This window comes from Homo sapiens, chromosome 2 (genome assembly GCF_000001405.40).
Source record: "Homo sapiens chromosome 2, GRCh38.p14 Primary Assembly".
Classification (NCBI taxonomy): Eukaryota; Metazoa; Chordata; class Mammalia; order Primates; family Hominidae; genus Homo; species Homo sapiens.
The window spans coordinates 86,784,386-86,808,419 of NC_000002.12; the positions used below are offsets into that span (position 1 = coordinate 86,784,386).

The 24,034-nt window shown below is 46.8% G+C and overlaps 1 protein-coding gene and 1 long non-coding RNA gene across 11 annotated transcripts in view, besides 16 other annotated features; one reads left to right on the plus strand and one right to left on the minus strand.

The window, feature by feature from the left end:
* Positions 220–24,011, minus strand: CD8A (CD8 subunit alpha). 9 transcript variants are annotated; one of them, NM_001145873.1, is made up of 9 exons: positions 23,734–24,011; positions 23,062–23,397; positions 17,126–17,272; positions 6,392–6,710; positions 5,943–6,296; positions 5,255–5,365; positions 4,938–5,048; positions 4,145–4,175; positions 220–1,586 (listed from the first exon to the last, which is right to left on the minus strand). In NM_001145873.1, exons 4-9 carry the CDS (start codon positions 6,438–6,440, stop codon positions 1,535–1,537), a joined length of 708 nt encoding a protein of 235 aa, NP_001139345.1. In that variant the 5' UTR covers positions 6,441–6,710; positions 17,126–17,272; positions 23,062–23,397; positions 23,734–24,011; the 3' UTR covers positions 220–1,534. The 9 variants fall into 9 exon arrangements, 4 of the variants coding, with proteins under 4 accessions (NP_001139345.1, NP_001369627.1, NP_001759.3 ...); NR_168480.1 differs by lacking the exons at positions 4,938–5,048; positions 23,734–24,011 and adding an exon at positions 23,552–23,657 and having other exon boundaries at positions 225–1,586; positions 6,392–7,281; NR_168478.1 differs by lacking the exon at positions 23,734–24,011 and having other exon boundaries at positions 225–1,586; positions 6,392–7,281; positions 23,062–23,657.
* Positions 1,691–2,846: an enhancer, noted in NCBI's record as "SphI/XmnI fragment". NCBI's record gives its function as "enhancer in JM and Jurkat T cell lines" and the evidence as "EXISTENCE:reporter gene assay evidence [ECO:0000049][PMID:8413295]".
* Positions 1,691–3,691: a DNaseI hypersensitive site, noted in NCBI's record as "HS2 and HS3; HPB.ALL and Jurkat cells; the nucleotide coordinates are approximate for this feature". NCBI's record gives the evidence for it as "EXISTENCE:in vivo cleavage assay evidence [ECO:0001075][PMID:8413295]".
* Positions 1,691–4,800: a biological region, named in NCBI's record as "CD8A intronic regulatory region". NCBI's record gives its function as "regulatory_interactions: CD8A".
* Positions 1,795–2,846: an enhancer, noted in NCBI's record as "SphI/AflII hCD8-ED deletion fragment". NCBI's record gives its function as "required for CD8A expression in NK1.1+ bone marrow cells in mouse transgenic model" and the evidence as "EXISTENCE:knockout evidence [ECO:0001091][PMID:8921442]".
* Positions 1,975–2,634: an enhancer, noted in NCBI's record as "653 nt core enhancer, defined by Tth111I/delta280 site". NCBI's record gives the evidence for it as "EXISTENCE:reporter gene assay evidence [ECO:0000049][PMID:8413295]".
* Positions 1,982–2,012: a protein binding site, noted in NCBI's record as "Ets-1 probe". NCBI's record gives the evidence for it as "EXISTENCE:protein binding evidence [ECO:0000024][PMID:8413295]".
* Positions 2,227–2,257: a protein binding site, noted in NCBI's record as "TCF-1 probe". NCBI's record gives the evidence for it as "EXISTENCE:protein binding evidence [ECO:0000024][PMID:8413295]".
* Positions 2,354–2,635: a mobile genetic element, noted in NCBI's record as "Alu stem R described in PMID:7853405".
* Positions 2,381–2,409: a protein binding site, noted in NCBI's record as "downstream LYF1 probe". NCBI's record gives the evidence for it as "EXISTENCE:protein binding evidence [ECO:0000024][PMID:8413295]".
* Positions 2,482–2,868: a sequence secondary structure, noted in NCBI's record as "cruciform structure or double stem-loop formed between two Alu sequences and supported by P1 nuclease cleavage". NCBI's record gives its function as "blocks enhancer activity" and the evidence as "EXISTENCE:in vitro cleavage assay evidence [ECO:0001058][PMID:7853405]".
* Positions 2,515–2,543: a protein binding site, noted in NCBI's record as "upstream LYF1 probe". NCBI's record gives the evidence for it as "EXISTENCE:protein binding evidence [ECO:0000024][PMID:8413295]".
* Positions 2,602–2,632: a protein binding site, noted in NCBI's record as "GATA-3 probe". NCBI's record gives the evidence for it as "EXISTENCE:protein binding evidence [ECO:0000024][PMID:8413295]".
* Positions 2,663–2,846: a transcriptional cis regulatory region, noted in NCBI's record as "delta204 to XmnI region". NCBI's record gives its function as "position-dependent negative regulator of enhancer activity" and the evidence as "EXISTENCE:reporter gene assay evidence [ECO:0000049][PMID:8413295, PMID:7853405]".
* Positions 2,715–2,868: a mobile genetic element, noted in NCBI's record as "half-Alu stem L described in PMID:7853405".
* Positions 4,400–4,800: a DNaseI hypersensitive site, noted in NCBI's record as "HS1; the nucleotide coordinates are approximate for this feature". NCBI's record gives the evidence for it as "EXISTENCE:in vivo cleavage assay evidence [ECO:0001075][PMID:8413295]".
* Positions 5,229–6,063: an enhancer, noted in NCBI's record as "H3K27ac-H3K4me1 hESC enhancer chr2:87016737-87017571 (GRCh37/hg19 assembly coordinates)". NCBI's record gives its function as "activates a minimal SCP1, AML or CMV promoter by ChIP-STARR-seq in naive H9 embryonic stem cells {active_cell/tissue: H9 hESC(naive)}" and the evidence as "EXISTENCE:reporter gene assay evidence [ECO:0000049][PMID:30033119]".
* Positions 9,592–24,034, plus strand: part of LOC105374846 (uncharacterized) — a 28,486-nt gene continuing 14,043 nt past the window's right edge. For both annotated transcript variants that reach the window (XR_940321.3, XR_940322.3), the window contains exons 1-2: positions 9,592–12,445; positions 23,202–23,280. This is a non-coding gene — a long non-coding RNA (uncharacterized LOC105374846). The remainder of the gene's footprint in view (positions 12,446–23,201; positions 23,281–24,034) is intronic.

The following is a 24,034-nucleotide window of genomic DNA, read 5'->3' on the forward strand; positions in this document are numbered from 1 at the left end:
AAAGGAAGAAGGGTAATGCAGGATGAAGCTAATCTGTTTTGATTGATGTGAAAATGGCAGGCTCAGGTGAAGGTGGGGACTGATTCAATAATTTTACTTTTAGGTCTTTATCCTAAAGAAACAAAAATATATGCAACATTTTAAGAGTGTTATAGTAGGAAAAGGTTGGAAACAACTAAATATCAGGTAATAGTTAAATAAATGATGGCACAACCAAAATCGGATGCTGTTTACCCATTAAAGAGGATGCTACAAATGTTTATTCATTAAAGCCACTCATAACAGCATAGTACAACCCTATTTAAAAAAGAAAGACATATTTTACATGTATGTGTAGAAAATAATCAGGAAGAATGTACACCATATTAACAGGAGATTATTCCTAAGGTGAAGAATTATGAGTGGTTCTTATTTCCTTATCTACTTAAGTTTTTTCTCTCCAATGGGCAGGCATTGCTTGTACCATACCTTAAGCAAGGAAGTGCATGTTTGGGACAGCAGTTTGGGCTCTCAGCCTCCTTAAGAGAGTCAGGTCTGCCTCATCCCTGTATCTGCTAGTTGAGCAGAGGCCAGGGCTGTGTGAGGGGCTCTCCAACAATTGTCTTTACAAAGTATAAAAAGTCATCAGTGATCCCAGGAACATGTTTGTATCTCAAATTCAGAGATTCAAGAGGGCCTTAGTTTAACCTCACTGATGCTCAAATTCTATTTGTAAAGGGGTAGCCTGTCCTCTTTCATGGGCCCCTCTGCAATGCAAGGGCTGGGAGAGCAATTCCGCCTCCACATAGGGGTTTCACAGAGATTTTCTTTAGAGATAGAGGGATTCATTTTCCAGGGTTAAGCTCACCACTTCATTTTATTTTAGGTCTATACAATTTTAGGCTTGATTATAAAAAAAAAAAGTCTGATATTGTTTACATTATAGAACTCTGCCAAAGGCAGTTCTCTTCTTTAATTCATTACCTCCTCGAGGCTCTGGGCACAGTATCCCAGGTATCAAGAAGTACTTGTTCCCTTGCCGTTGGAGACTCAAGCACCTCACCCTGAGACAGGGGCCTCGGAAAGAAAGACCTGAATGGTGTGGAGGAAAGAGCCCTGAGCTGGGAGACAAGGTCCCTCCAGCTACTGCTCCAACCCTGACTTGCTGTGTGCCTTTGATCAAGCTGTCTCTGGGCTTTAGCCTCCCCCTTTGTAAAACGGGCGGGGAAGAGGTTGAGATGGCATGGGTGCCTCCAGCTCTCTCAGCATGATTCTGAGAACTCTGCGGGTAGCTCTGGCCTGCCCCTTTCCACGCCCTACCGCGATGTGCGCACAACAGTATTGTGACCCTTGTGGTGTACTGTAGATTTTACCTAGTTTTGTTTCCCGTCAAACACATAAAGAAAAAGTAATCTTTCCCACCCCGCCCCCACTAAAATAATAATCATGAGAATGAATACACAGGGAGGAAGACTGGAAAAAATGAAAGGGAAGGACTTGCTCCCTCAAAAGGAAGGATCTCAGTTTGAAGTAATGTAGTGGCTGTTGCACAGGGTTAGACGTATCTCGCCGAAAGGCTGGGCTTGTCTCCCGATTTGACCACAGGCCTGAAAGAGAGGAAAGCGACCATCATTGTAGCCAGAACCCCGCCAGTGCAGCATCCATCCAGCCACGTCCAGCCTCCCAATCCCCCAGCCTTTGAAAGGTCTGAGAACCTGTTCCTGGGGCACCAGCATGGGACTGGGTGAATGACGTCAGCACAGCACCCGTGCTAAATGCCTTACTTGCACCATCTCATGTAATCCTCACAGCAGCCTTAAGGGTGGGCACTGAGATTGAGAAGTTAAACTTGCCCAAGGTCACACATCTAGGAGGTGGCTGAGCCAGGATCTAAACCGAGTTAGTCTAGCTTCCTGGAGCCCCTGTCAAGGTCTCCACAGAGGTGTGAGAGTGAGACTGATAACCAAAGTCATTAGCTGACCTGATTCTCAGCCCCGGAGGATGACAGGGAGAGAGGAGGATGTGAGCAAATCACCACCATCAGCCAAATGATGTTACGCTAAAAACGTGTTAATTCAGCACCAGGCTAGCACCTTGTAAACATGCTAATTCATCATGAGCGTCATGTCTGCACTCTCAGCCCTCTAAAACCTCTCTGTTGAAGCTGAGCGGCCCACCATCATCACTGAGTATATTAACTCGGGTGTTGGAATTTCCCAGGTGTGTTTAATCTGTATAGCTTTGTATTTTAAGGCAGAACTTTATTCTCAGTTATTCATCTCAAAATGAGAGTTTTCAGAAAAGATCGAGAAAAGGGATGGTCCTTCTGCAAAAGTTCCAAAGTGCACCCTGAATAATAAAAATGCTAAAAACTGGCCGGGTGCGGTAGCTCACGCCTATAATCCCAGCACTTTGGGAGGCCAAGGCGGGCGGATCACGAGGTCAGGAGATCGAGACCATCCTGGCTAACACGGTGAAACCCCGTCTCTACTAAAAATACAAAAAATTAGCCGGGTGTTGTGGCGGGTGCCTGTAGTCCCAGCTACTTGGGAGGTTGAGGCAGGAGAATGGCGTGAACCCGGGAGGCGGAGCTTGCAGTGAGCCGAGATCGCACCACTGCACTCAAGCCTGGGCGACATAGCGAGACTCCGTCTCAAAAAAAAAAAAAAAAAAAAAGAAAAGAAAAGAAAAGAAAAGCTAAAAACTTCCCCCCCCACTTTTTTTTTTTTTTTTTGTGAGATGGAATCTTGCTCTGTTACCCAGGCTGGAGTGCAGTGGTACGATCTCAGCTCACTGCAACCTCCGCCTCCCACGTTCAAGCGATTCTCCTGCCTCAGCCTCCTGAGTAGCCCGGATTATAGGCATGCACCACAATACCCGGCTCATTTTCAAAGTCTTTATCCCCTTGGTATATCACCTGTAACATATGCATTGGAAATCCATTGCATTTCCATTGCTAAAAACAACAATGTGTAAAGTCCTGAACTTGGATTCCCTCAGAAAAATGTAAAGGAGTATAAAATGCAAACTCCAGGTATAAAATGTAAAATATTTCATCTACTGAAAAGAACTGGTGTACACAGTCGGTTATCCTTAACACTTCAGCCTGCAGCCATGGGGAAGGTGTCTGAGCTTTGGATGGAAGTTGCAGCTCCCGGGCAGTATGACCTTGGACAAATCACTAAATGTTCTAAGCCTCAGTTTCCTTATCTGTAAAATGCAGGTAATCATGACTACTTTAAAAGTTGTCATAAAACTTAAAATTAAAAAAAATCTATAAAGCAAGTAACGTGCGTTGTAGGCTTTCATCAAATGGTTATTACTATTGATAATCTGAGTTTAATGTGCCTTTGCCACTTTACTAATCCCTGAGCCATGAGATGGCACAAAGTTGCTGTGAGGATTAAGAGAGATGGGGAGTATTACCCCTATCACAGTGCCTGACTAGAGCAGGCACTTGTTAGATGCTACCACAGGGATGCCTCAGCCAACGGGTGGAGAGAGGTTTTTAACAGAGAGGGAGAGAGAGAGAGAGTGTGTGTGTGTGTGTGTGTGTGTGTGTGATCATGGGCTGAAACTGGATGAGGCAGTCACTTGAGCTGCCAGATAGCCAATTGTCCCTGCATCTCGTTCCCCTTTTTTCTACTCCAGTCCTTGGCAGCAAACCAAGGTCCTACATGACACAGAGAAGTTAGCAACCAAAGCCATTATTATTTTGGTTCAGCTGATAAAAGATTGGCTCTCCCTCAAAAAACTAGACCAGCCAAGTAGGAAAAAAAATTGTTTTCTTAAGAAAACAACAAAACCCAGATGGAATAATCAGAATAAAGAGGAGGTCAGGTCCTACGAGGAGCTAGGATAAATTGGGGGAATCCCTCAGGTTTTTTTTTTTTTTTTTTGGAAGTGCCAGGTCAAATAAGATGGAGATTTACTGGAGTCACACTGCTGTTGGCACCCGCCTAACCCGGGCCTCCTTTTTCTCAAAGACACAGGCCAGATGCCAGCCTTGGCCTCTCTTTGCTCAGGAACTGGCTGACTCCCTGCCCCAGGATTTCACGGCCATGACCTCTCTCTGGGAAAAGTTCCCACTATTTGCTGCTGGGGAAACCAGGACCCCACCCCAGGGCTGGCCAAGGTGAGCAGGCTGAGTTCAAAAGAGACTCACCGGGGACATTTGCAAACACGTCTTCGGTTCCCTGGATAAGGAAAAAGAAGGGAAAAAGTGAGTGCCCCTATCCATCAATAGTCCCCAAAGACAGTGTATTTTTTGTTGTTGCTGTTGTTGTTGCTGCTGTTTTTTGGTTTTACAAAAAATCATTTCAGAACGATCATGGGCTGAAATTGGATGAGGCAAATAGGGAATTGCCTCTACGAATTCTCCTTCCTTTCCCCTATTTCTTTGAGGATTATAACTCTTGAGAGCCGGGTAAGGGCTTCTTATCCATCCTTCGTCTCAAGCATCAATTAAAAAAAATTGCAACTACAGACGCGGGCGAAAGCGGGGAGCCTGCAGACCTGATCCGGCACCTCTCTTGCATGGGACCCAAAGCAGGGTGGGCGGTTCGCCGAAGAGGGCCAAGGACGAACCTCAAACTGATGGTGGTTTTGACTAACCCTCCTGGGCACTTGACTCGGCCACAGCGGCCCCCTCCCGGCGGGCGTTTGTCATGTGTCCAGACATGTGCGCGCGCGCTGCGGGCTTCGTCGACGGAACACACCCGCTGCAGCGGCTCTGGGAACGCGGCTTTGTCTCCCAAAACCTCTCCGAGAGCGCAAGGAGCGGGAAGGGCTTTCTCGCATTCTATCTCCCAGAAAGAAGTGCCTGTACCTGCGGGGCAGCTCGGGAGTCCCAGAAAACTCAACCCCAAGCTCCCCCCTCGCAAGGTCCGCCTGGAGCTAGCAGAGCCAAGGGCAGGAGCGGGGCCGACTCCTTCCCGCCGCGATTCCTCGGGACTTACTGTGGTTGCAGTAAAGGGTGATAACCAGTGACAGGAGAAGGACCCCACAAGTCCCGGCCAAGGGCGCCCAGATGTAGATATCACAGGCGAAGTCCAGCCCCCTCGTGTGCACTGACGACACCAAAGACGCCGACATTTAGGAGAGGGCCCGGGACCTCCCAACCGCCCCACCGTCCCGGGAACGTCTCTCCGCCTCAGATCTCGGTTTCCCACCACTTGGACAGCCCTTGACTCTACCTACAGTATCAGGGCTGTCCCTGGCATGGGCTCTCCCCGCGGTGCGTGCCGCCCCCGCCCCGGGCCCCCGCACGCCTCACCTGCGCCCCCCGCCGCTGGCCGGCACGCCTCTGGGCGCAGGGACAGGGGCTGCGACGCGATGGTGGGCGCCGGTGTTGGTGGTCGCGGCGCTGGCGTCGTGGTGGGCTTCGCTGCAAGAGCAACAGAGCGTGGTTGGGGGCCAGGCTGGGGTTATGGAGGCGCCCCAGCCCCGGCCTCGCGCACCTTTCCCCACGGGGACGCCTCCCCCCGGTTTTCCTGGGAGAAGGGATAGCAGAGGAGACAGGATGGGGACCCCGGGATGCGCGCGGACCCCTGTGCTCGGGCCTCGGCTCAGCCCAGCGCACCCGGCGCCCAGAGCCGGAGCGCAGGAGCCAGCTCCCCTGCACCTGGCCTCTCTCCCGGGCTGAACCAGCAACCCTGGAGCGCGGGTTGATTGCTGTCCGCATTTTACCCACGAGCAAACGGAGGCGCAGATAATTTAAGTCATTTGCCCAGAATCACACAAGAATCCGAACTCGAGTCCAGATCGGCCGGACGTAAAAAGCCATCCCCAGTCCCTACTCAGCCTCGCGTTAGCCTCAGTTTGCTGTGTCTGTGAAATGGGAACAGTATCTAAGTCGCTTCCAGGTGCGCTAAGAGGCTTGAAAGCAGGGCCCAGGTGTGGAAAACAGGTTGAGGTGAACCCCAAGCCCCACGCGGAGAGGTGCCGCAACCCGGCGCGCGGACCTGGCAGGAAGACCGGCACGAAGTGGCTGAAGTACATGATGGAGTTGCTCAGGGCCGAGCAGAAATAGTAGCCCTCGTTCTCTCGGCGGAAGTCGCTCAGGGTGAGGACGAAGGTGTCCCCCAACCTCTTGCCCGAGAACCGCTGGGTGTCCAGCCCCTCGGCCGCCTTGGGCTTGTTTTGGGAGAGGTATAGGAGGAAGGTGGGACTGGCGGCGGCGCCGCGCGGCTGGAAGAGCCACGAGCAGCCCGACGTCGGGTTGGACAGCAGCACCTGGCACTTCAGCTCCACTGTCTCGCCCAGGTTCCAGGTCCGATCCAGCGGCGACACCCGGAACTGGCTCGGCCTGGCGGCGTCTGCAGGCGGCAAGCAGCGAGGCTGAGCCCGCAGTCCCGCGCCCCCCGCCCCCCGCCCGCCCCATCCCCTGCCTTCCCGGGCGTCTCAAACTCACGGAGCAGCAAGGCCAGCGGCAGGAGCAAGGCGGTCACTGGTAAGGCCATGACGCGCTCCCCAGGACGCTGCTTGGCTCGAAGCTCGGGCGCGAGGGGAGGCGCGCGGGAGCCGGTGGGGCGCCGAGGGGGGAAAGTTGCGCCCTTCGGCCGGCCCGGAGCCTGATTTCGCATTTGGAGGATGTGATGTCACCCGAAGCCCCCGCCGAGGAGAGTCACCCTCCTTTTCGCGGTTGTCGCCTTCCAGCCCGGCGAGGAGGCTGGGGCCCGTGAATAGGGCCGTCGAGGCAGCCTGGCCAGGCAACTGGGGGCAGCTGAAAACTGCGGGTTTGGGGATGAGGAAAAGGGCTTGGAAATAGTCCTTGGAAATGGTTGTCTTGTGAGAGTGACAGAGTGGGTGAAGGGAGACCAAAGATTTCAAGAAGTGAGGGCGAGAGTAGGCAGCAAAGGAGGGGAGTGTCCCTTCCTTTGCCTTCACTAAAGGCGTCTCTTGTACTGTCACCTTGGGACTTTTTATTGGCAAAATGGGCACTGAGGGCTGAAAAGGAAGAGGAACTAGCGACCTGCCCGCTTCTGAGGAACTCGCTAGAGCAGCCCCAGTTTTCACCGAGGAAGGACCCTCTCCCTTCCCCCAGGAGATTTCCATGAGAGCGGCAGCAGCCGAAGCTTTGGGTGTCGGTGTCAGTGCGCTGCTGACCTCATTCTTCCGGCCTTTCATCCAGCGGCTAAACTCACCACACAGCCTCATCTCTTCTTGGAGCCATTGCAACAGCCTTCAATTCACACCAGTCTCTCTCCTGATCAGTCCTCCAGCCACGTTGTTATAAAAATTATTATTCTCACAAAGGGGATCTGACAGCGTCACTGCTGCAGCCTCCCATGGCCTGCATTGCTGGATGGAAATTCAACCCCCAGCTTGGTTGACCAGCCCTTGGGTGCTGGCTCCTCCCAGCCTCCGCACAGCCCCCTGCCCTGCCTTTCCCATACACCTGCAGCTGCAGCTTCACAGGCTTGAAGTCATTCAACCCCTGCGCTCTGTGCTTTCACGCCCTTGCACTTGCGGTCCCTCGGCCTGGAATGCTGGTCTGTTTAAGCCCTGGAGGCAGCTCCTGTGCTGTCTCATTTGGACCTCATTTCTTTCACCCCCAGCTCTGGGTGCTCTGCAGGGAGGTGTGGGTGATGTGGGTGAATGCTTGGGTAGAGGCGGTTTTCTCTTTTCTGTCCCTAACACATGTGTGTCCCCTTCCTTTTTGTTTCTTTAAAAAATAAAATAAAATAAAAAAGACTGGAGTCTCGCTGTTTTGCTCAGGCTGGCCTTGGGACTCCTGAGCTCCAGTGATCCTCCCACCCCAGCCCCCTGAGTAGCTGGGACTACAGGCTCATCTTTCCTTTTTGACTGTTGCTGTCCTGAAACCTTCCAGCTCCAGTGGCATGCCCTCTTCCCATTTCTTCAGGGTTTCTGAGTCTTTCCACTTTGAATCCCATAGTGGCTGCACCTCACATTGCTACTGCTTGATCCTAGAGACAAGACACCTGGCATTCTGTGTTCCATGTGTCTGCCCCACCCATTAGTTCTGCTGGGCGAGGACCATGCCGAGACTTCATGATGTGTCCTCCATCCCCAGAAACACAGCATGGGCTGAGCTGTGCTTGTTGAACTGCATTCTCCTTGTCCTTGTGAAGTACAAACTTAAGTGTTGGATGGGTTCTTTGTCGTTGTTGCTATTTTTTTTTTTGAGATGGGGTCTGGCTGTGTTGCCCAGGCTGGAGTGCAGTGTGGCACCACCTCGGCTCACTGCAGCCTCTACCTCCCAGGCTCAAGTGATCCTTCCACCTCAGCCTCCCAAGTAGCTGGGACCACAGGAGCACACCACCATGCCCAGCTAATTTTTTGTATTTTTGGTAGAGATGGGGTTTCACCATGTTGCCCAGGCTGGTCTCCAATGCCCGAGGTCAGGCGCTTTGCCCCGCCTTGGCCTCCAAAGTGTTGAGATTACAGGTGTGAGCCACCATATCAGGGCCTGGATGGGCTTTTTTTTTTTTTTTTAATTATTTTGATTTCAGTACCTCCTTCCAGCTCCCTCAAAGCATCCAAGATGCTTATTCTAGCATGGAACATGTAACATTTTATATTCAGAAATTTTTAAAAATGTCTTTTAAGTGACAACAGTGCAATATATTCTTGTACGAAAACAAACACAAAGTTCCCTGTCTCAACTCTCCTCACTGTCACCTGCTCCCCACAGAAAACCACTGTTACAGTTGAATGTGTCCCTTAGATATTATCTGTACATAAACAGATGTTTATACATCATCTTAGACACATGGGATTGTATGAGATAAATATTTTTTTGCAACCTATCTTGTTTCACAGTAGAAGGAGAGCGTTCAGCAGATGAAGATCCACCCCATTCTTATAAATGGGTGCATTATATATGGGTGTTCCATAATTTAATTCTGCTGTTAGTGGACATTTAGGCGATTTCTCATTATTGCAACACTAGCAAGGCTGTGGTAGATATAATGTATCTGTATCACTGAGGGCTTGCACCAGTACCTGCAGCTTTTTCAAATGGGAGATGAGGGAGTTGGGGAAGAAAACACCTTTACAATGATGGTTATAACTGGCCTATCGATGTATGCATGTGTGTGTGTGTGTGCATGGTATGAGGGTCCCTCGCTGTGTAGACACAGTGCTGTCCCTCAACTCACATGAATGAGGGAGACAAGGAAGCAATCAAGTCCAGACAGGCCACCAACACATCAATTCTTGCTGTAGATGGTAGTTTGCCATTTTGCTCAGCACCACCAGCACTGTATCAGGAGTGTCAAATGGCCCTGCTGGCCAAAGGCTACAATCAACAGGGTGGTAAGGAAGATGGCTAGACACGAAACTGCACTTGCCCAGTGGTGGAAGCACTGAGGGGGCCAGAGTCAACCTCCACCTATTTGGATCTTGAGAATCAGGCCCCTGAGTGTGATGATGGCCAGATTTGGGGGTGTACTGCTTTAAAATAGACTAGTTCCATCTTAGTCTCACGGAAATCAGCTTGGGGGCCTTCTAGCCCTGCAGCTCAGAAAAGTGTCAGCCAGTGGGGTGGCAGCCCCTTTGTACAGAGCACCATGGGGGTTGGGGTGGGGAGGATAAGGCAACATGTCAAACCCATCAAGGAGGCTTTGTGACCCCAGTGATATTTTTTGCAGAACGTGGTGGATTTTCGATGTGACCACAATGACATCCGCCTTGCAGTGGCAGAACAGATGCAATTGCACAAGTTCTGGAGAAACTTTCTGTAGACCAGGTGTGCAGAGGGCTGGGTTGGGCCTGTCCATCACTGCCAGGTAAGTTCCCAAACCCCACACTGTAGCACTGACTTGGGATGGCATGAAGAAATGTGAATGACTGCACTCCTTTAAGCAAGCCCCTTATTTAAAAAAATATCCAGAAGTAGATAGAGTAAGATAGTAACCAGTTTCTATGCTGATTTAAACTGGTCCATGGAAATGGAAAACTTTAATGTAGATTAAAGACATATTCAAAATGCAAAACCGGGCAGAGCAGTGGTAGGAAATCCATCAGGGTTCTGTGCCACTGCTCCTAAGACATGAACTGCAGGGACAACTTGGAATCATGGCTGGGAAATTGCCTGCTGTGTCCCCATCGCCAATTCAGGTCTATGGAGATGTTACTGTTCTTGGAAGGAGTTAGCTTGTCCAGGGCTAGAAACTCTAGAGTTATCAGGGCTTGTTTTATCTTAATTGGAAATACCAATCAATTTGGCCTCACTTCTGTCACCTTTCTTTTCCTCCACCCCGAGTTCCCCAAGTTCATCTAGCTGCTGTCCTTCTTTCCTGGACTTTTGCAATGGCCTCTTAACTGGCCAACCCCATTTCTGCTCTGGTCCCTTCTAGAGAAAATCTCATCATGCCAACCCCCTGCTTCAACCTGAAAGGACTTCCTGGTGTCCCTAGTAGAATGTCGGGGATCCCTAATGTTGCCTGTGAGGCCCTGCACACTTGGTTTCATAGTCTCTGTCCTCTTGTCTGTCACCTTCTTCACTCCTCCTAGGTTCCGCATCTCTCATTTCTCAAGCGGACCCTAGTCCTTTCCACTTCAGAGCCATTAAACATGCTATTCCCTCAGCCAAGAATGTTCTCACCTCTGCTCTCTGCTTACCAAACTCCTCTCCCTTAAGACCCAGCTCAAGCATCTCCTTCCTGTGGGGTTTAGCTCCTTCCCCCTCCCACTCCCAGACAGTACAGACCACATCCTTCTCTTCTCTGTGTCACCCGGACCTTGGGTATCTGCAGACTGGAGCACAATGGTTTGTTTGCCTGTCCAGCTTGACAACCAAACCCTTGGTCCCTTGAGGAAGGAGCCTTGTCCCTCTCATGTTTACACCAGGGTGCCAAACAGAGGGCTTGGCACACACTTGAGTGGCACACACTCAAGAAATTCTTGCTCAGTAAAAGCTAAAGGAAGGTAGAAGTAGGGTACAGCAGACCAGAGGAGGCTTAGATAGTTCATTCCAAGTAAGAGTGGTCAGGAAAGGCTTCACATATAGTTGGGTTTGAAGATAAAGGAAGAATTAGGAGAGAGGTTGTTTAGAATGAGGCATTTGATATGTCTGATCAAGATCAGCTGATACCATGCTTTAACATATAGCAATGGTATAGTTAAAAACAAAAGAAGAGGAGGAAGGGGAGAAGGCAGATGTACTCAAAAGCAAGATAAACGTCTTCAAGGATGTAGTTGCAGGACAATGGCTGGAATCAGGGGCTGGCTTGCTGGGATCTGTTCTTAGCAAACCATTCTTGGGCCTGGGTCTTGAGGGTCTGTTCTTAGTGTAGAGGCACCAAGAGTTTGACTCCTTCAGCTAACAGAGTTTCACAGTGCTTTGCCTATAGAGGAAGGCTGGAGCCAGGCTCTCTGCTTGAAACAGGGATTTGGATCTGATTTTCTCTTGATTGAAAGAGAGCCCACAGCCACCCATGTAAGGCCTAGTTCTGACTGTGGGCCCTGGAAAGTCAGAGGCTACTTTAAAAAACTCAGGAAAAGAGAGAGTAAAGAGAGGAAGAGATTTTCAAAAATTTCTATTCAAGATAACCCTGCACACACACTCGAAATTCAAAGTATACATAAAAAAGACTCAACAAGTGGAATGTGAATTCACTTCCAAAAAGAGGCAAATTATTGAACAATTTGAAAAATGTTTAAAACAAAGAGAACAACAAATGTAGAAAATGCAGAAATTAAAGAAGAACAGTTGAAGATGATAAATACTGAGCATACTGGAAATGAACACTCTACATATTAAACAAGGATATACTCTAGGTTGGACATAGTTGAAGGGATAATTAATGAATTGGAAGCTAGCATTGAGAAATTCATAGAGAATGCAACACAGGGAGATGAAGACAGAAGCAGTTTGAAAAAGCTGTTGAGATGTATATTAGCATGGTGAAGTGTTTAATAGGATTTCAGAAAGGGGAGAACAAAGGGAATGTGGAGAAGAAATATGGGAAGAAAGCATGGCTGAAAATTTTTCACAATTAAAGACAAACATTCTCAGATCAAAAATACTCTTAGTGCCAAGTATAAAAACATATACATCTTTGCACATATCAAGGTGAATTATAAACATCAAGAGTAAAGAGAAGAGGGCATCCCAGGAAGCTAGGATGTTTGAAATATAATTGGGAGAATCCTTGTTGCAGTTTGGATTGGGCAGAGAGGGTAAGAAGCTGAACTGTAATGGGGAAAAATATACACATTTTGGTTACACCTTGCATTGACTCTCTGTCATCCCCTCCCTTGGTGCTGACACATGCTTACTGTAAAACTGATCCAATGATCCCATAGAGTTGATGTTTGTGGTTTCTTTGAATAAACATATAAATTGATCCTTGCCTTCTTAAAACCTGAGAAAGTTACATTTGTCTTATCTGAGTTCCTTTCTAGGGAAACCAACTATCAGGCCTCCCAGATGGTAGCAATGAGCTGAAACTCACCAGATCACTTATTATGAACAATAAGACGTCAGACTCTTCACCTGGTATGATGGCCTAACTAACCTCCTGTTTCCTGTTGTCCAACTCCTTTTCCTTACTCCTCCCAACTTCCTGTTTTCCCACACATGATTACATGTCTTCCCTGCTATATAAACCCCTTAATTTTAGTCAGGTCAGAGGGATGGATTTGAGACTGATCTCCTATCTCCTTGGCTGCAGCACCTGACTAAATTCTTCTTCCTTGGCAATACTTGTTGTCTCAGTGATTGGCTTTCTGTGAGGTGAGCAGAAGGACCTAGATGGATCCCCCGGTGTTTCGGTAACAAAATTGTTTTGGATCTTTAATCTCAGTAACACTGAAACAGAAGCGTTCTGAATGCAACTGGAGAGCCAGGATTTGAGTTCAGAAGAGGGGTCAGGGCTGGGGATGTAGCCTTGGGAAGGAGGTGATAAGTTGTGAGAGTGGGTGTCATTGCAAAGGGAGGTGGTGTGGAAAGAACATACAGAAGAGTATATGGAACCTTCAGGGAAGGCTCGTATTGAAGAGCAGGAAATAAAACATTGGCAAGGAATCCAGGTAGTGCAGGAAATTCAGAATGGGGCTTGAGAAGGTGGAAGAACTTCACAGGGGAGGTTTGGGCTATAAGAGAAGCACAGAGAGGACATCAAAGCCTGTGGCAGGTAGAGATTGTAAGCTCATGTCTGCCCCTGACCCACATGAGGATGTCCCACATGTTTGCCATTGGTGGATGATAAGATGAGGAGGACTCACAGGAGAAAGGCCAACAAGGGAGGGTAGGGGCAGCATGGGGACTTGTGGAGGGCAATGTCAGATGAAGTGATGTTGACTTCTGAACTTCATTCATTATTCACTCATTTAAATATTTCTGCTATTCACTTTTTTAAAAAAAAGTTTTGAAAACATTTTAACATAGAACAATATGTCAAATAATATAAAATGCCCACTCTTTATAAGTGTTAGCATTTTGTCGCATTTCCTTCACATGAACATTACAGATAAAACTGTACCCTCCCAAGTACCACCCCACCCGCCTTCTCATGAAAAGCTAAATTTGGAGTTTTGTTCATTAATTATGACAGAAAGATGGTAAGTTTTTTAATTTTTAATCTGTTAACCTTTCCTATGGAGCTGAGAGAGAAGGATGCCGAATGTCCAATGAGTGTGGATTTGTCTATTTCTCCTTTTAATTCAGTTCATATTTTGTCTCCTATATTTTGAAGCTTTGTTATTAGGTGCATACACATTTAGAATTGTGCCTTCTGGATGAATTCACTCTTTTATCATTATGAAATGTTCGTCTTTACCTCTGCCTCTGGTAATACTTTGTTGTGAAGTCTACCTTTTATTCATAAGGAACAGAGCTTTCTTTCTTTTTTTTTTTTTTGAGATGGAGTTTCCCTCTTGTTGCTCAGGTTGGAGTGCAATGGCACGATGTTGGCTCACCGCAACCTCCACCTCCCAGGTTCAAGCTATTCTCCTGCCTCAGCCTCCCGAGTAGCTGGGATTACAGGCATGCACCACCACGTCCGGCTAATTTTGTATTTTTAGTAGAGACAGGGTTTCTCCATGTTGGTCAGGCTGGTCTCGAACTCCCAACCTCAGGTGATCCACCTGCCTCAGCCTCCCAAAGTGCTGGGATTACAGGCATGAGCCACTGTGCCCGGCCAGAAACACAACTTTCTTATGCTTCCCGTTTGCATAATGTATCTTTTCCTTTTTCTTTTTTTTTTTTGAGGCAGAGTCTAGCTCTGTTGCCCAGGCTGCAGTGCAGTGGTGCGATCTCATCTCACTGCAACCTTTGCCTCCAGGGTTCAAGCAATTCTCCTGTCTCAGCCTCCTGAGTAGCTAGGACTACAGGTGCACGGCACCATGCCCAGCTAATTTTTATATTTTTAGTAGAGATGGGGTTTCACTATGTTGGCCAGGCTGGTTTTGAACTCCTGACCTCAGGCAATCTGCCCACCTGGCCTTCCAAAGTGCTGGGATTACAGGCATGAACCACTGTGCCCAGCCTGCATAATGTATCTTTTTCTATCCATTTACTTTCAACTTCCCCTTCTCTGTTTTGAAATGTTTACTAGATATGTATACATGTATATGTGTATATATATCTATAAATGCTATATAATTTTATTTTCTGAGAGTTTCAAAATACAGAAATGTCATCATATTGTGTGTCTTTGAGCTATGTTGATACATATAGATTTATTTTAAATGCTGTGTGGTGTATTATCCTGTGAATGTGCCACAGTTTCATGTTCAGTGGTTCTTGAACCAGAGTGTTCATCTCTCTGGAAGTATATGGAGGCTGTCCTTGGGGATACACATAATTTTAAGGAAATTGTTTTCCAGATTCTCAACTCCCATTGGTTCTCTTCTCATAAAATGGACCTGCCCAAGAACAAGTCCCTGTGTTTAGGCTTTGTGCTCGTTCTCCTTTCTGGCCTATTCTTTCATGATTATTTTATTTCCCACTTTAAAACTGAAAGGCAAACTTCCCGCCCTCCTGTTCCTTACTATGCTCCAGAGGTGGGCACGTAATCCTCTGGGCCACCAATAAAAAGACAAATCCAAACATTTTTCATGTAATTTCCATCCGTTAGAAATTGCCAAAGAATGCATTTCTCCTGAGCAGAGTCCCCAGTATCCAGGTAGAGTCATCTGGGGGCCGGGCACGGTGGCTCACGCTTGTAATCCCAGCACTTTGGAAGGCCGAGGTGGGCGGATCACGAAGTCAGGAGATCGAGACCATCCTGGCTAACACGGTGAAACCCCATCTCTACCAAAAATACAAAAAATTAGCCGGGCACGGTGGCGGGCGCCTGTAGTCCCAGCGACTCGGGAGGCTGCGGCAGGAGAATGGCTTGAACCCGGGAAGTGGAGCTTCCAGTGAGCCAAGATCACACCACTGCACTCCAGCCTGGGCGACAGAGCGAGACTCTGTCTCAAAAAAAAAAGAAAGAAAAGAGTCATCTGGGAGGGATGCAGGAGGCAGAGTGCCTCACAGCAGGCTTTGGGGCCTCATCCCTCTACTCAGCTCTCTATCATCGAGCTAGAATTCAGAGGTGAGACAGTCATTATGAGGATGCATATTAACGTGTTCATTATGATTACAAAAGGAATCAGAATTCTTTTTTTTTTTTTTAACAGAAATTAAGTCTGAGTTGTTAATTGGTTTGACATTGAAGACCAGCTTTGCCAATGAGGTTAATGGCAGTATTTTAACTTTCCTTGAATCTAGTGAGCTAAATCTTTAGCTCCAAGGTTTTGATGAGAATCAAGTTTAGCGCTAAAGAAACAGCTTAGAAAAAGAAAGAAAAGAAAACACTTTTAACAAGTTTAAAATCTATGATAAGATAAAAGCATTTTGGCCAGGTGCGGTGGCTCATGCCTGTAATCCCAGCACTCTGGGAGGCCGCAGTGGGTGGATCACAAGGTCAGGAGTTTGAGACTAGCCTGGCCAACATGGTGAAACCCCGTCTCTACTAAAAATACAAAGAAAATTTAGTCGGGCATGGTGGCAAGCGCCTGTAATCCCAGCTACTCAGGAGGCTGAGGCAGGAGAATTGCTTGAACCCAGGAGGTGGAGGTAGCAGTGAGCCGAGATCACACCACTGCACTCCAGCCTGGGCGACAGAAAAAAAAAAAAAGAAAGAAAAAAAAAGATAAAAACATTATATCACAATATTGTTTGTATTGGAATTTGTCTTGAAATTAAATTAAAAATATTTCTAATACCCCAACACTTTCCAAGTTAATCAATTTCAGCAATCGTTTTTAAGTGAAAGAAGAATGATGTCATTGATGGCTACTTGGTAGGCTTCGGTAAAACCTAGTTTAGGGCTTCCAAAACCCAAGAAAGTGAATAAATCTAAAAATGGTAACAAACCCATGTGCAGGTCAGTGGTTCCCAAGTGTTTGCTTTCAACAAAATTGGAAGAAGGCCTTCTAGATTTGGCAACTATCACAGGTTGAATTGTGTCCCCCCAAGTATATTTGTTGAAGTCTTATACTCTAGCATCTCAGAATGTGACCTTATTTGGAGACAAGGTCCTTACAGAGGTAATCAAGTTCAAATGAGGCCAATAGGATGGGTCCTAATCCAATATAACTGGTGTCCTTGTGGAAAGGGGCAATCAGGACACACACACAGAGAACATCATCTGAAAACAAGGCAGAGATGGGGTGATGTTTCTACAAGTCAAGGAATGCCAAAGATTGCCAGCAACTGACTAGAAGCTAGGTGAGAAGCATGGAACAAATTCCTTCTGTAGCCCTCAGAAGGAACACACCCAGCTGACACCTTGATCCTGAACTTCTAGCTTCTAGAACTGTGAGGCAATAAATTTCTTTTGTTGAAGCCACCTAGTTTGTGGTACTTTGTTAAAACAGCCCTGGCAAACTAATACAGCAACTAATAGATCATTAAAATTAATTTTTGATGATAGATAACATTGTCTCCCTCCCTCCCTGCCTCCCTCCCTTCCTTCCTTCCTTCCCTCCTTCCCGCTCTCTTTCTCTCTCTCTTTTTCCCTTTCTCCCTTTCTCTCTCTCTCTCTCTTTCTCCCTTGGAGAAAGGGTCTTGCACTTTCGCCCAGGCTGGAGTGCAGTGGAGTCACTGCAGCCTCAACCTCCTGGGCTCAAACAGTCCTCCCACCTCAGCCTCCCAAGTAGCTGGGACTATGGGTGCACACCATCATACCTGGCTAAATTTTTGTAGAGATGGGGGTTCACCATGTTGCCCAGGCTGGTCTTGAACTCCTGGACTCAAGGAATCCATCCATCCACCTTGGCCTCCAAAATGCTGGGATTACAGACGTGAGCCACTGCACCTGGTTCATGCTTTTGTCTTTTTGAAAAAAAAAGGAAAAAGTTAAAAGATTTAGTGATTCTGCTGTAACAAAGCCAACTATTTATTTATGGAGACAAAATTTCTCAGTACTTACATTGTATGACAAACAAAAGCAAAACAAAATTAATACTGAACTCTGTCTCATTCTAGCAATCAATAAATAAAATAAATCCTGTTATTTTATGGGTTCATTAATTAATTGGACCACAAAATTCATTTGTGGGGGGTCCATTTCATTAAGAGCTGAATTTTCCCCCAAAATTATGTTTTAAAAAGCTTTTTTTGAGATAATTGTAGATTGACATGCACATACAAGAAAGGGTACAGAGAATTCCATACCCTTCACCCAGTTTCCCCTAACAAAGGTTACTTTTATATTTATTTATTTATTTTTAGAGACAGAGCATTCTTCTGTTGCCCAGGCTGGAGTGCAGTGGTGTGATCTGGGCCCACTGCAACCTCCGCCTCCTGGATTCAAGTGAGTCTCTTGCTTCAGCCTCCCTAGTAGCTGGGATTACAGGCACCCGCCATCATGTCTGGCTAATTTTTGTATTTTTAGTAGAGACAGGATTTCACCATGTTAGCCAGGCTGGTCTCAAACTCCTGAACTCTAGTAATCTGCCTGCCTCGGCCTCCCAAAGTGCTGGGATTACAGGTGTGAGCCACCATGCCTGGCCAAAGGTTACTTTTAATGTTCATTAATTTTGAAGACTTGCAGTTTATTTATGCTATAAAGGACAATTGTGCACTATTAATAGTCGCAATGATGACATAATCTAAGACTTTTAATATTTAGAAACTTATGGTTGCAGGAAATTAAAAATTCATCTCATGTGCTTTTTTGGCAGAGAAGTATGAAATATTGATCAATATAAGGTCCTTAAGCATATGCACCTATTAAACTTTTATGGAGGAAGTAGAATAGAATTCATAAGTCCATTTGTTTTTACTCTTTATTTTTTTGAGACAGAGTCTCACTCTGCCGCCCAGGCTGGACCGCAGTGGCACAATCTCCACTCACTGCAACCTCTGCCTCCTTGGTTCAAGTGATTCTCGTGTCTCAGCCACCTGAGTAGCTGGGATTGCTACTCAGGTGTGCACCACCACACCCGACTAATTTTTGTATTTTTAGTAGAGATGGGATTTCACCCCTTTGGCCAGGTTGGTCTTGAACTCTTGGCCTCAAGTGATCTGCCTGCCTTGGCTTCCCAAAATGCTGGGATTACAGGTGTGAACCATCGCGCCTGGCCTAGAATTCATAAGTTTAAGGAGAAAAAGGAGTGATGAAAAATTTCCAAAAGTTAAGAACTTTTTCTTGTATTTTAAAAATGAGTGACGGTTGAAACAAAATTGATATATTATTTATGTGCTATTAGAAATAATTAAAAAGAATAAGGTTTTCTTTTTTAAAAATCAACATTTACTTTGGAAATTATGTCCTTTATAGTGATGAAAAATGTTTGATGTCAAGTTAAAAGTGAGTAAAGAAGTACATTCATTTTATAACAGCATTTTTCACAGTAGCTAAAATGTGGTAGCAACCCAAGTGTTTATTACTGGATGAATAGATAAACAAAATGTGGACTCAGGCATCTCTCTTCTGGGCTCATACCCAAAGGAAATGAAATCACCACCTCACCAAGGTATCTGTACTCCTGTGTTTATTGTAGCATTATTCATAATAACCAAGATATGGAGACAACCTAGACAACCATCAATGGACGAATGGTTTAAGAAATTGTGGTACGGATATATACAAGGGAATTCAGCCTTAAAAAAGGAGGAGATAGCATTTGCCATAACCTAGACGGGCCTGGAGGACATTATGCTAAATGAAAGAAGCCAGACACAGAAAAAAAATATTGCACGATCTTACCTGTATGTGGAATCTTTTATTTATTTATTTTCTTAGACGGAGTCTCACTCTGTTGCCCACGCTGGAGTGCAGTGGCGCAATTTTGGCTCACCGCAACCTCTGCCTCCTGGGTTCAAGTAATTCTCCTGCCTCAGCCTCCTGAGTAGCTGGGACTACAGGCACCTGCCACCACACCTGGCTAATTGTATTTTTAGTAGATATGGGGTTTTGCCATGTTGGCCAGGCTGGTCTCAAACTCCTGACCTCAGATGATCCACCTGCCTTGGCCTCCCAAAGTGCTGGGATTACAGGTGTGAGCTACCATGCCTGGCCTGTGGAATCTTTTAAAAAGGTCAAATATATAGAGAATAAAACAGTGGTTATCAAGATTGGAGTAGGAGAGAGGAAATGGGCAGATGTAGGCCTAAGGATACGAAGTAGCAAACATATAGGATGAACAAGTCAAATAAAGTACAATATGAAGACTACAATTAATAATAGCATATTATTCCAGGATTTTTGCTAGATGAGCATAGTTGCTTTTGCTACAGGAGGAAATAAATGGGTAACTAAGTGAGATGATGCATAAGTCAATTTGTTTCACTATAGTATCCATTCTACTAAATATGTGTGTCTTATACCATGATGTTGTATATACCTTATATATACACAATAAAATTTATTTAAACAAACAAAATGTGGTATATACATAGAGTGGAATATTATTCAGCCTTAAAAAGGAAGTTCTGACACATGCCACAATATGGATGAATCTTGAGGATATTATGCTAAGTGAATTAAGCCAGTCACAAAAAACCAAATACTGTATGATTCTATGTATTTGAGGTATTTAAAGTAGTCAAAATAATAGAGACAGAAAGTAGAATGGTGGTTGGGACAGGCTGGGGAGAGGGAGGAGTGGGAGTTATGTTTAACGGTTATAGAGTTTTAGTTTTTCTAGATGAAAAGAGTTAGAGAGAAGGATGGTGGTGAAGGTTGCACAACAATGTGCATGAACTTAATACCACTGAACTGTACACTTAAATGTTAAAATGGTAAGATTGTTATGTGTATTTTGCCACAATAAATTAGTATTATTATTTTTTTTAGAGACAGAGTCTAGCTCTGTCAACCAGGTTGAGTGCATTGGTGTGATAACAGCTCACTGCAGCCTCCAACTCTTGAGCCCCCAACTCCTGGCCTCAAGCAGTCCTCCTGCCTCAGCCTCCCAAAGTGCTGAGATTACAGGGGTGAGCCATTCACTGTTCCTTGCTAAATCTTTTTTTTTTTTTTTTTTTTTTTTTTGAGACAGAGTCTCGCTCTGTCACCCAGGCTGGAGTGCAGTGGTGCGATCTCAGCTCGCTGCAAGCTCCACCTCCTGGGCTTAAATGATTTTCCTACTTCAGCTTCCTGAGTAGCTGGGATTACAGGCACACGCCACCATGCCTGGCTAATTTTTGTATTTGTAGTAGAGACAGAGTTTTGCCATGTTGGCCAGACTGGTCTCGAACTCCTGACCTCAAGTGATCCACCTGCCTAAGCCTTCCTAAGTGTTGGGATTACAGGCATGAGCCACCACACCTGGCCTAAATTTTTTTTTTTAATGAGTGAAGGAGTCCATAGTCTTTCATACTTTGGGGTGATACAAGAAAAGGAAAAAGGTTTAATGACAACTGCCACTTTCATTTATTCATTCCTTTGTTGATGTACTTTTGGGCTGGGTTTTGCTGTTATAAGCTAAACTACAATGGACATCCTTGTACACATTCCCTAGAGTCCAAGTACAAGATTTTCTCTAGGGTGTTTTCCTGGAAAAGGAATGACTTGAGGAGTATGGCAACCTTGTGAGAAATGACTGATTCGAAAGATGTGTCCCATAGCTTTTGATACATTTTTCTCCGAAGTCATGGTTCCAGTCCACACTCACACCAGCTGTGGAGGAGTTTTCATTTACCCACGAGCTTTGTTATTTCTGGTTTTGTCAGTCTTTTCAATTCTGCCAATCTCATAGGGTGTGATGGTATCTCGTTGTTTAAACCTGACTTCTCTTGTTAAGGTTGAGACCGAGCATCTGGCCCCATGTTTGCTGGCTATTCAGCTTTCCTCTTCTGCAGACTGCCCGTTTGTCCACTGCTCTGTTTCAGTAACTTCCATATACCAAGAACTCTCTGCCTTCCATAACTCACATCACTTAAAATACGAATTTTTTTGATGCTTAGAGAACCTGATTTCCTTCCAACCAATTGTGCTCTCCTAATTCCAACAACCAAATGAAGCTTCAACTCTTCTTTTTGTTCAGAGCCCTCCTGAGTCCTGTCCTACTCACAGTAAAGGCTGTGGCAAAATAAATAAATAAGTAAATAAAGGGGAAAAATACACTGCATCCAAAAAAGGCTCGTTTCTTTTTCTTTCTTTCTCTCTCTCTCTTTCTTTTTCTTTTTCTCTTGTTGTGACAATTGTCACAACAAAATGTGTATGTGACAATTTGTTATCTTAAAACAGTTTACCCAAAATAGAAACCTTACAAAGCCAGTGGAAACTTTTCTTTTTGCATAAGTTGGTTAATTCTTTTGAGTGCTGGCCTGGGATCCATGAAATAACCTCAACTCGACCATAAAACTTTTCACTCCCACGTTATGCAAACGGTGATGACCTTGTTGGTGGCAAGCCCCCCGTGTGACTTTCCGAGGGGATCTGAGTGGTGCAAGGTGGAGGACGCAGTGATGGAAACATTGCGAGAGGGAAGGCGTCTGTTTCCACCCACTTACCCTCAGAGCATGAGGGCTGGGCGAAGGCTCTGACTCCTGTAGGGGGTGACCCATTTCTAGGACTATAGAAGGAGAGGTGTGGACCTGGAAAAAGGAAGGAAAGACCACGGCAAGGAAAGTCAAGAAGTGGGAGAAGTCAAGGGCTCTCTCCTCCCTTCCTCCTTGTCCTTGGCCTGCAGCAACTCCTCTTTCTCTTTTTGTGGGGACAGACTGAAGAGGATTTCTTAGTATGGTTTGTACCTTCCCAGTAGAGCAGGAAAAAGAGGAACGAGCTGCTCCCTCCACACCTCAGACGCTGAGGTCAACTGCCCTTTGGGCGGGGCACGTTGGCTCACGCATCTAATCCCAGCACTTTGGGAGGCCGTGAGGGGAGCATCACTTGAGCCCAGGAGTTGGAGACCGGCCTGGGCCACATAGTGAGGCCCCATCCTCCGGCTTGCACCACTCAAATTCCCTCGTAAAGTCACACGGGGAGCTTGCCCCCAGCAAGGTCGTCAGTTTGCAAAACATGGGAGTGAAAAGCTTTATGGTGGAGTGTAGGTTATTTCATGGATCCCAGGCCAGCACCCAAAAGAATTAACCATCTTGTGCAAAAAGAAAATTTTCCACTACTTTTTTAAAGTTTCTATTTTGGGTAAATCGTTTCAAGATAACAAATTGGAGAGAGACCTAGAGAGAAATGAGCCTTTTTAAGATGCAGTTTATTTTGCCCCATGATGTTTTTGTTTTTGTTTTTGCCAGAGCCTTTACTGTGAGTAGGACAGGACTCAGGAGGCCTCTGAACAAAAAGAAGCGTTGAAGCTTCATTTGGTTGTTGGAATTGGGAGAGCACAATTGGTTGGAAGGAAATCAGGTTCTCTCAAAAAATAAAATAAAATAAAATAAAAAAAAAAGCCAGCGTGCTGGCGCGGGTCCATGGTCCAAGCTACTTGGGAGGCTGAGGTGGGGGGATCGCTTGAGCCCGGAAGTCGAGGCTGTAGTGAGCCGTGATTGCACCACTGCACTCCAGCCTGGGCGATAGAACAAGACCCTGTCTCTTAAAACAAACAAGAAACAAAACAAAACAAACAACAAAAAAATTCATTTGGGAATGTTTCTGCGCGTGCCCATAAGCAGAGCCATGCTATAGGATCTCCCCTGTGCCCCAACAATCAGCTTCTTACTTGGAGGGTAGAGAACGGTGCTTCCCCACGCTGCTGTGCAATGGATAGGAGCTATGTGAAGCTGGCGTATGGGTGGGGTTTGCAGGCTTCGTCCGGCTTCATCGCCGGCTGCTGACCCGGCACCAATTCCTGTTCTGCAGGTCTCACCGCAGAGGGGCACGCCAGCCATGAGGACAGATGAGGGAACACGTGATGCCACGATGGGGGTGCCAGGATGAGGTGGGTGCGGTCGCGGACAGGCGCACGAGGAGCCCAGCGGAGCGCCACCCGGAGCAGGCGCGGAGGAGGGCTGGGGAGGGCCACCAAGGCGACGAGAGCCGGTGTGCCTGAATCAGCCTAAAGGAGACGGAGGAGGAGTGTGGTGGGCGCAGGGGCAGGGAGCTGGGGGAAGGGCGGGGGGCTAGCCCAGGCTGAAGGCAGGCAGGAGCAGGGCCGCGATGTCAGACAAGAAACGGCAGCAGTGTGTTTGGGAACCTAGCACCAACCGCACCGGTGGAGACAGGGTCTGCTGTAGAGGAGGTGGGGCCGGGTCCCAGCTAAGTAAGGCGGTGGATCTTGCAGCCCTTCCATCCTCAGCCGCTCATTCTGCGCAAATCTCGGGGCCAGCCTTGGTGGAGCCGTAAAGCGTCCACCAGAACCTGGATCCCTCCGCCACCTTTCCCATGAATTCACCTTTCTGTACACAGCAAGCGCCTGAGCGGAGACGGCCGACACGTTTCCCACTGTTACCCCAGGAAACCGCGGCTCCTGAGGGGGTCAGGGCCTGGGCAGGGGGCAGAGCTCAGCGCGCCGTACTGAGGCAGAAACGGGGTCCAGAGAGGGTGGGGTGGGGGTACAGGGAAGGGTCGCCCGAAGGTCCCTGGCGCAGGGAGGACAGAGGAGGGATCTAGAATTCGTAGGGGAGAAGAGAACTCAGAAAAGATCCGGCCCAGCGCATTTATTTTACAGAGGAAGAAAAACTGAGGCCCAGGGA

Coding starts and splice junctions, on each gene's coding strand:
- CD8A (NM_001145873.1), bottom strand. CDS start 6,440: ATGGCCTTACCAGTGACCGCCTTGCTCCTGCCGCTGGCCTTGCTGCTC. Junction 6,297..6,391: donor GCCGCTGGCCTTGCTGCTCC/GTGAGTTTGAGA, acceptor TGCCGCCTGCAG/ACGCCGCCAGGCCGAGCCAG. Junction 5,049..5,254: donor GCCAGCGGCGGGGGGCGCAG/GTGAGGCGTGCG, acceptor TGGTGTCGTCAG/TGCACACGAGGGGGCTGGAC.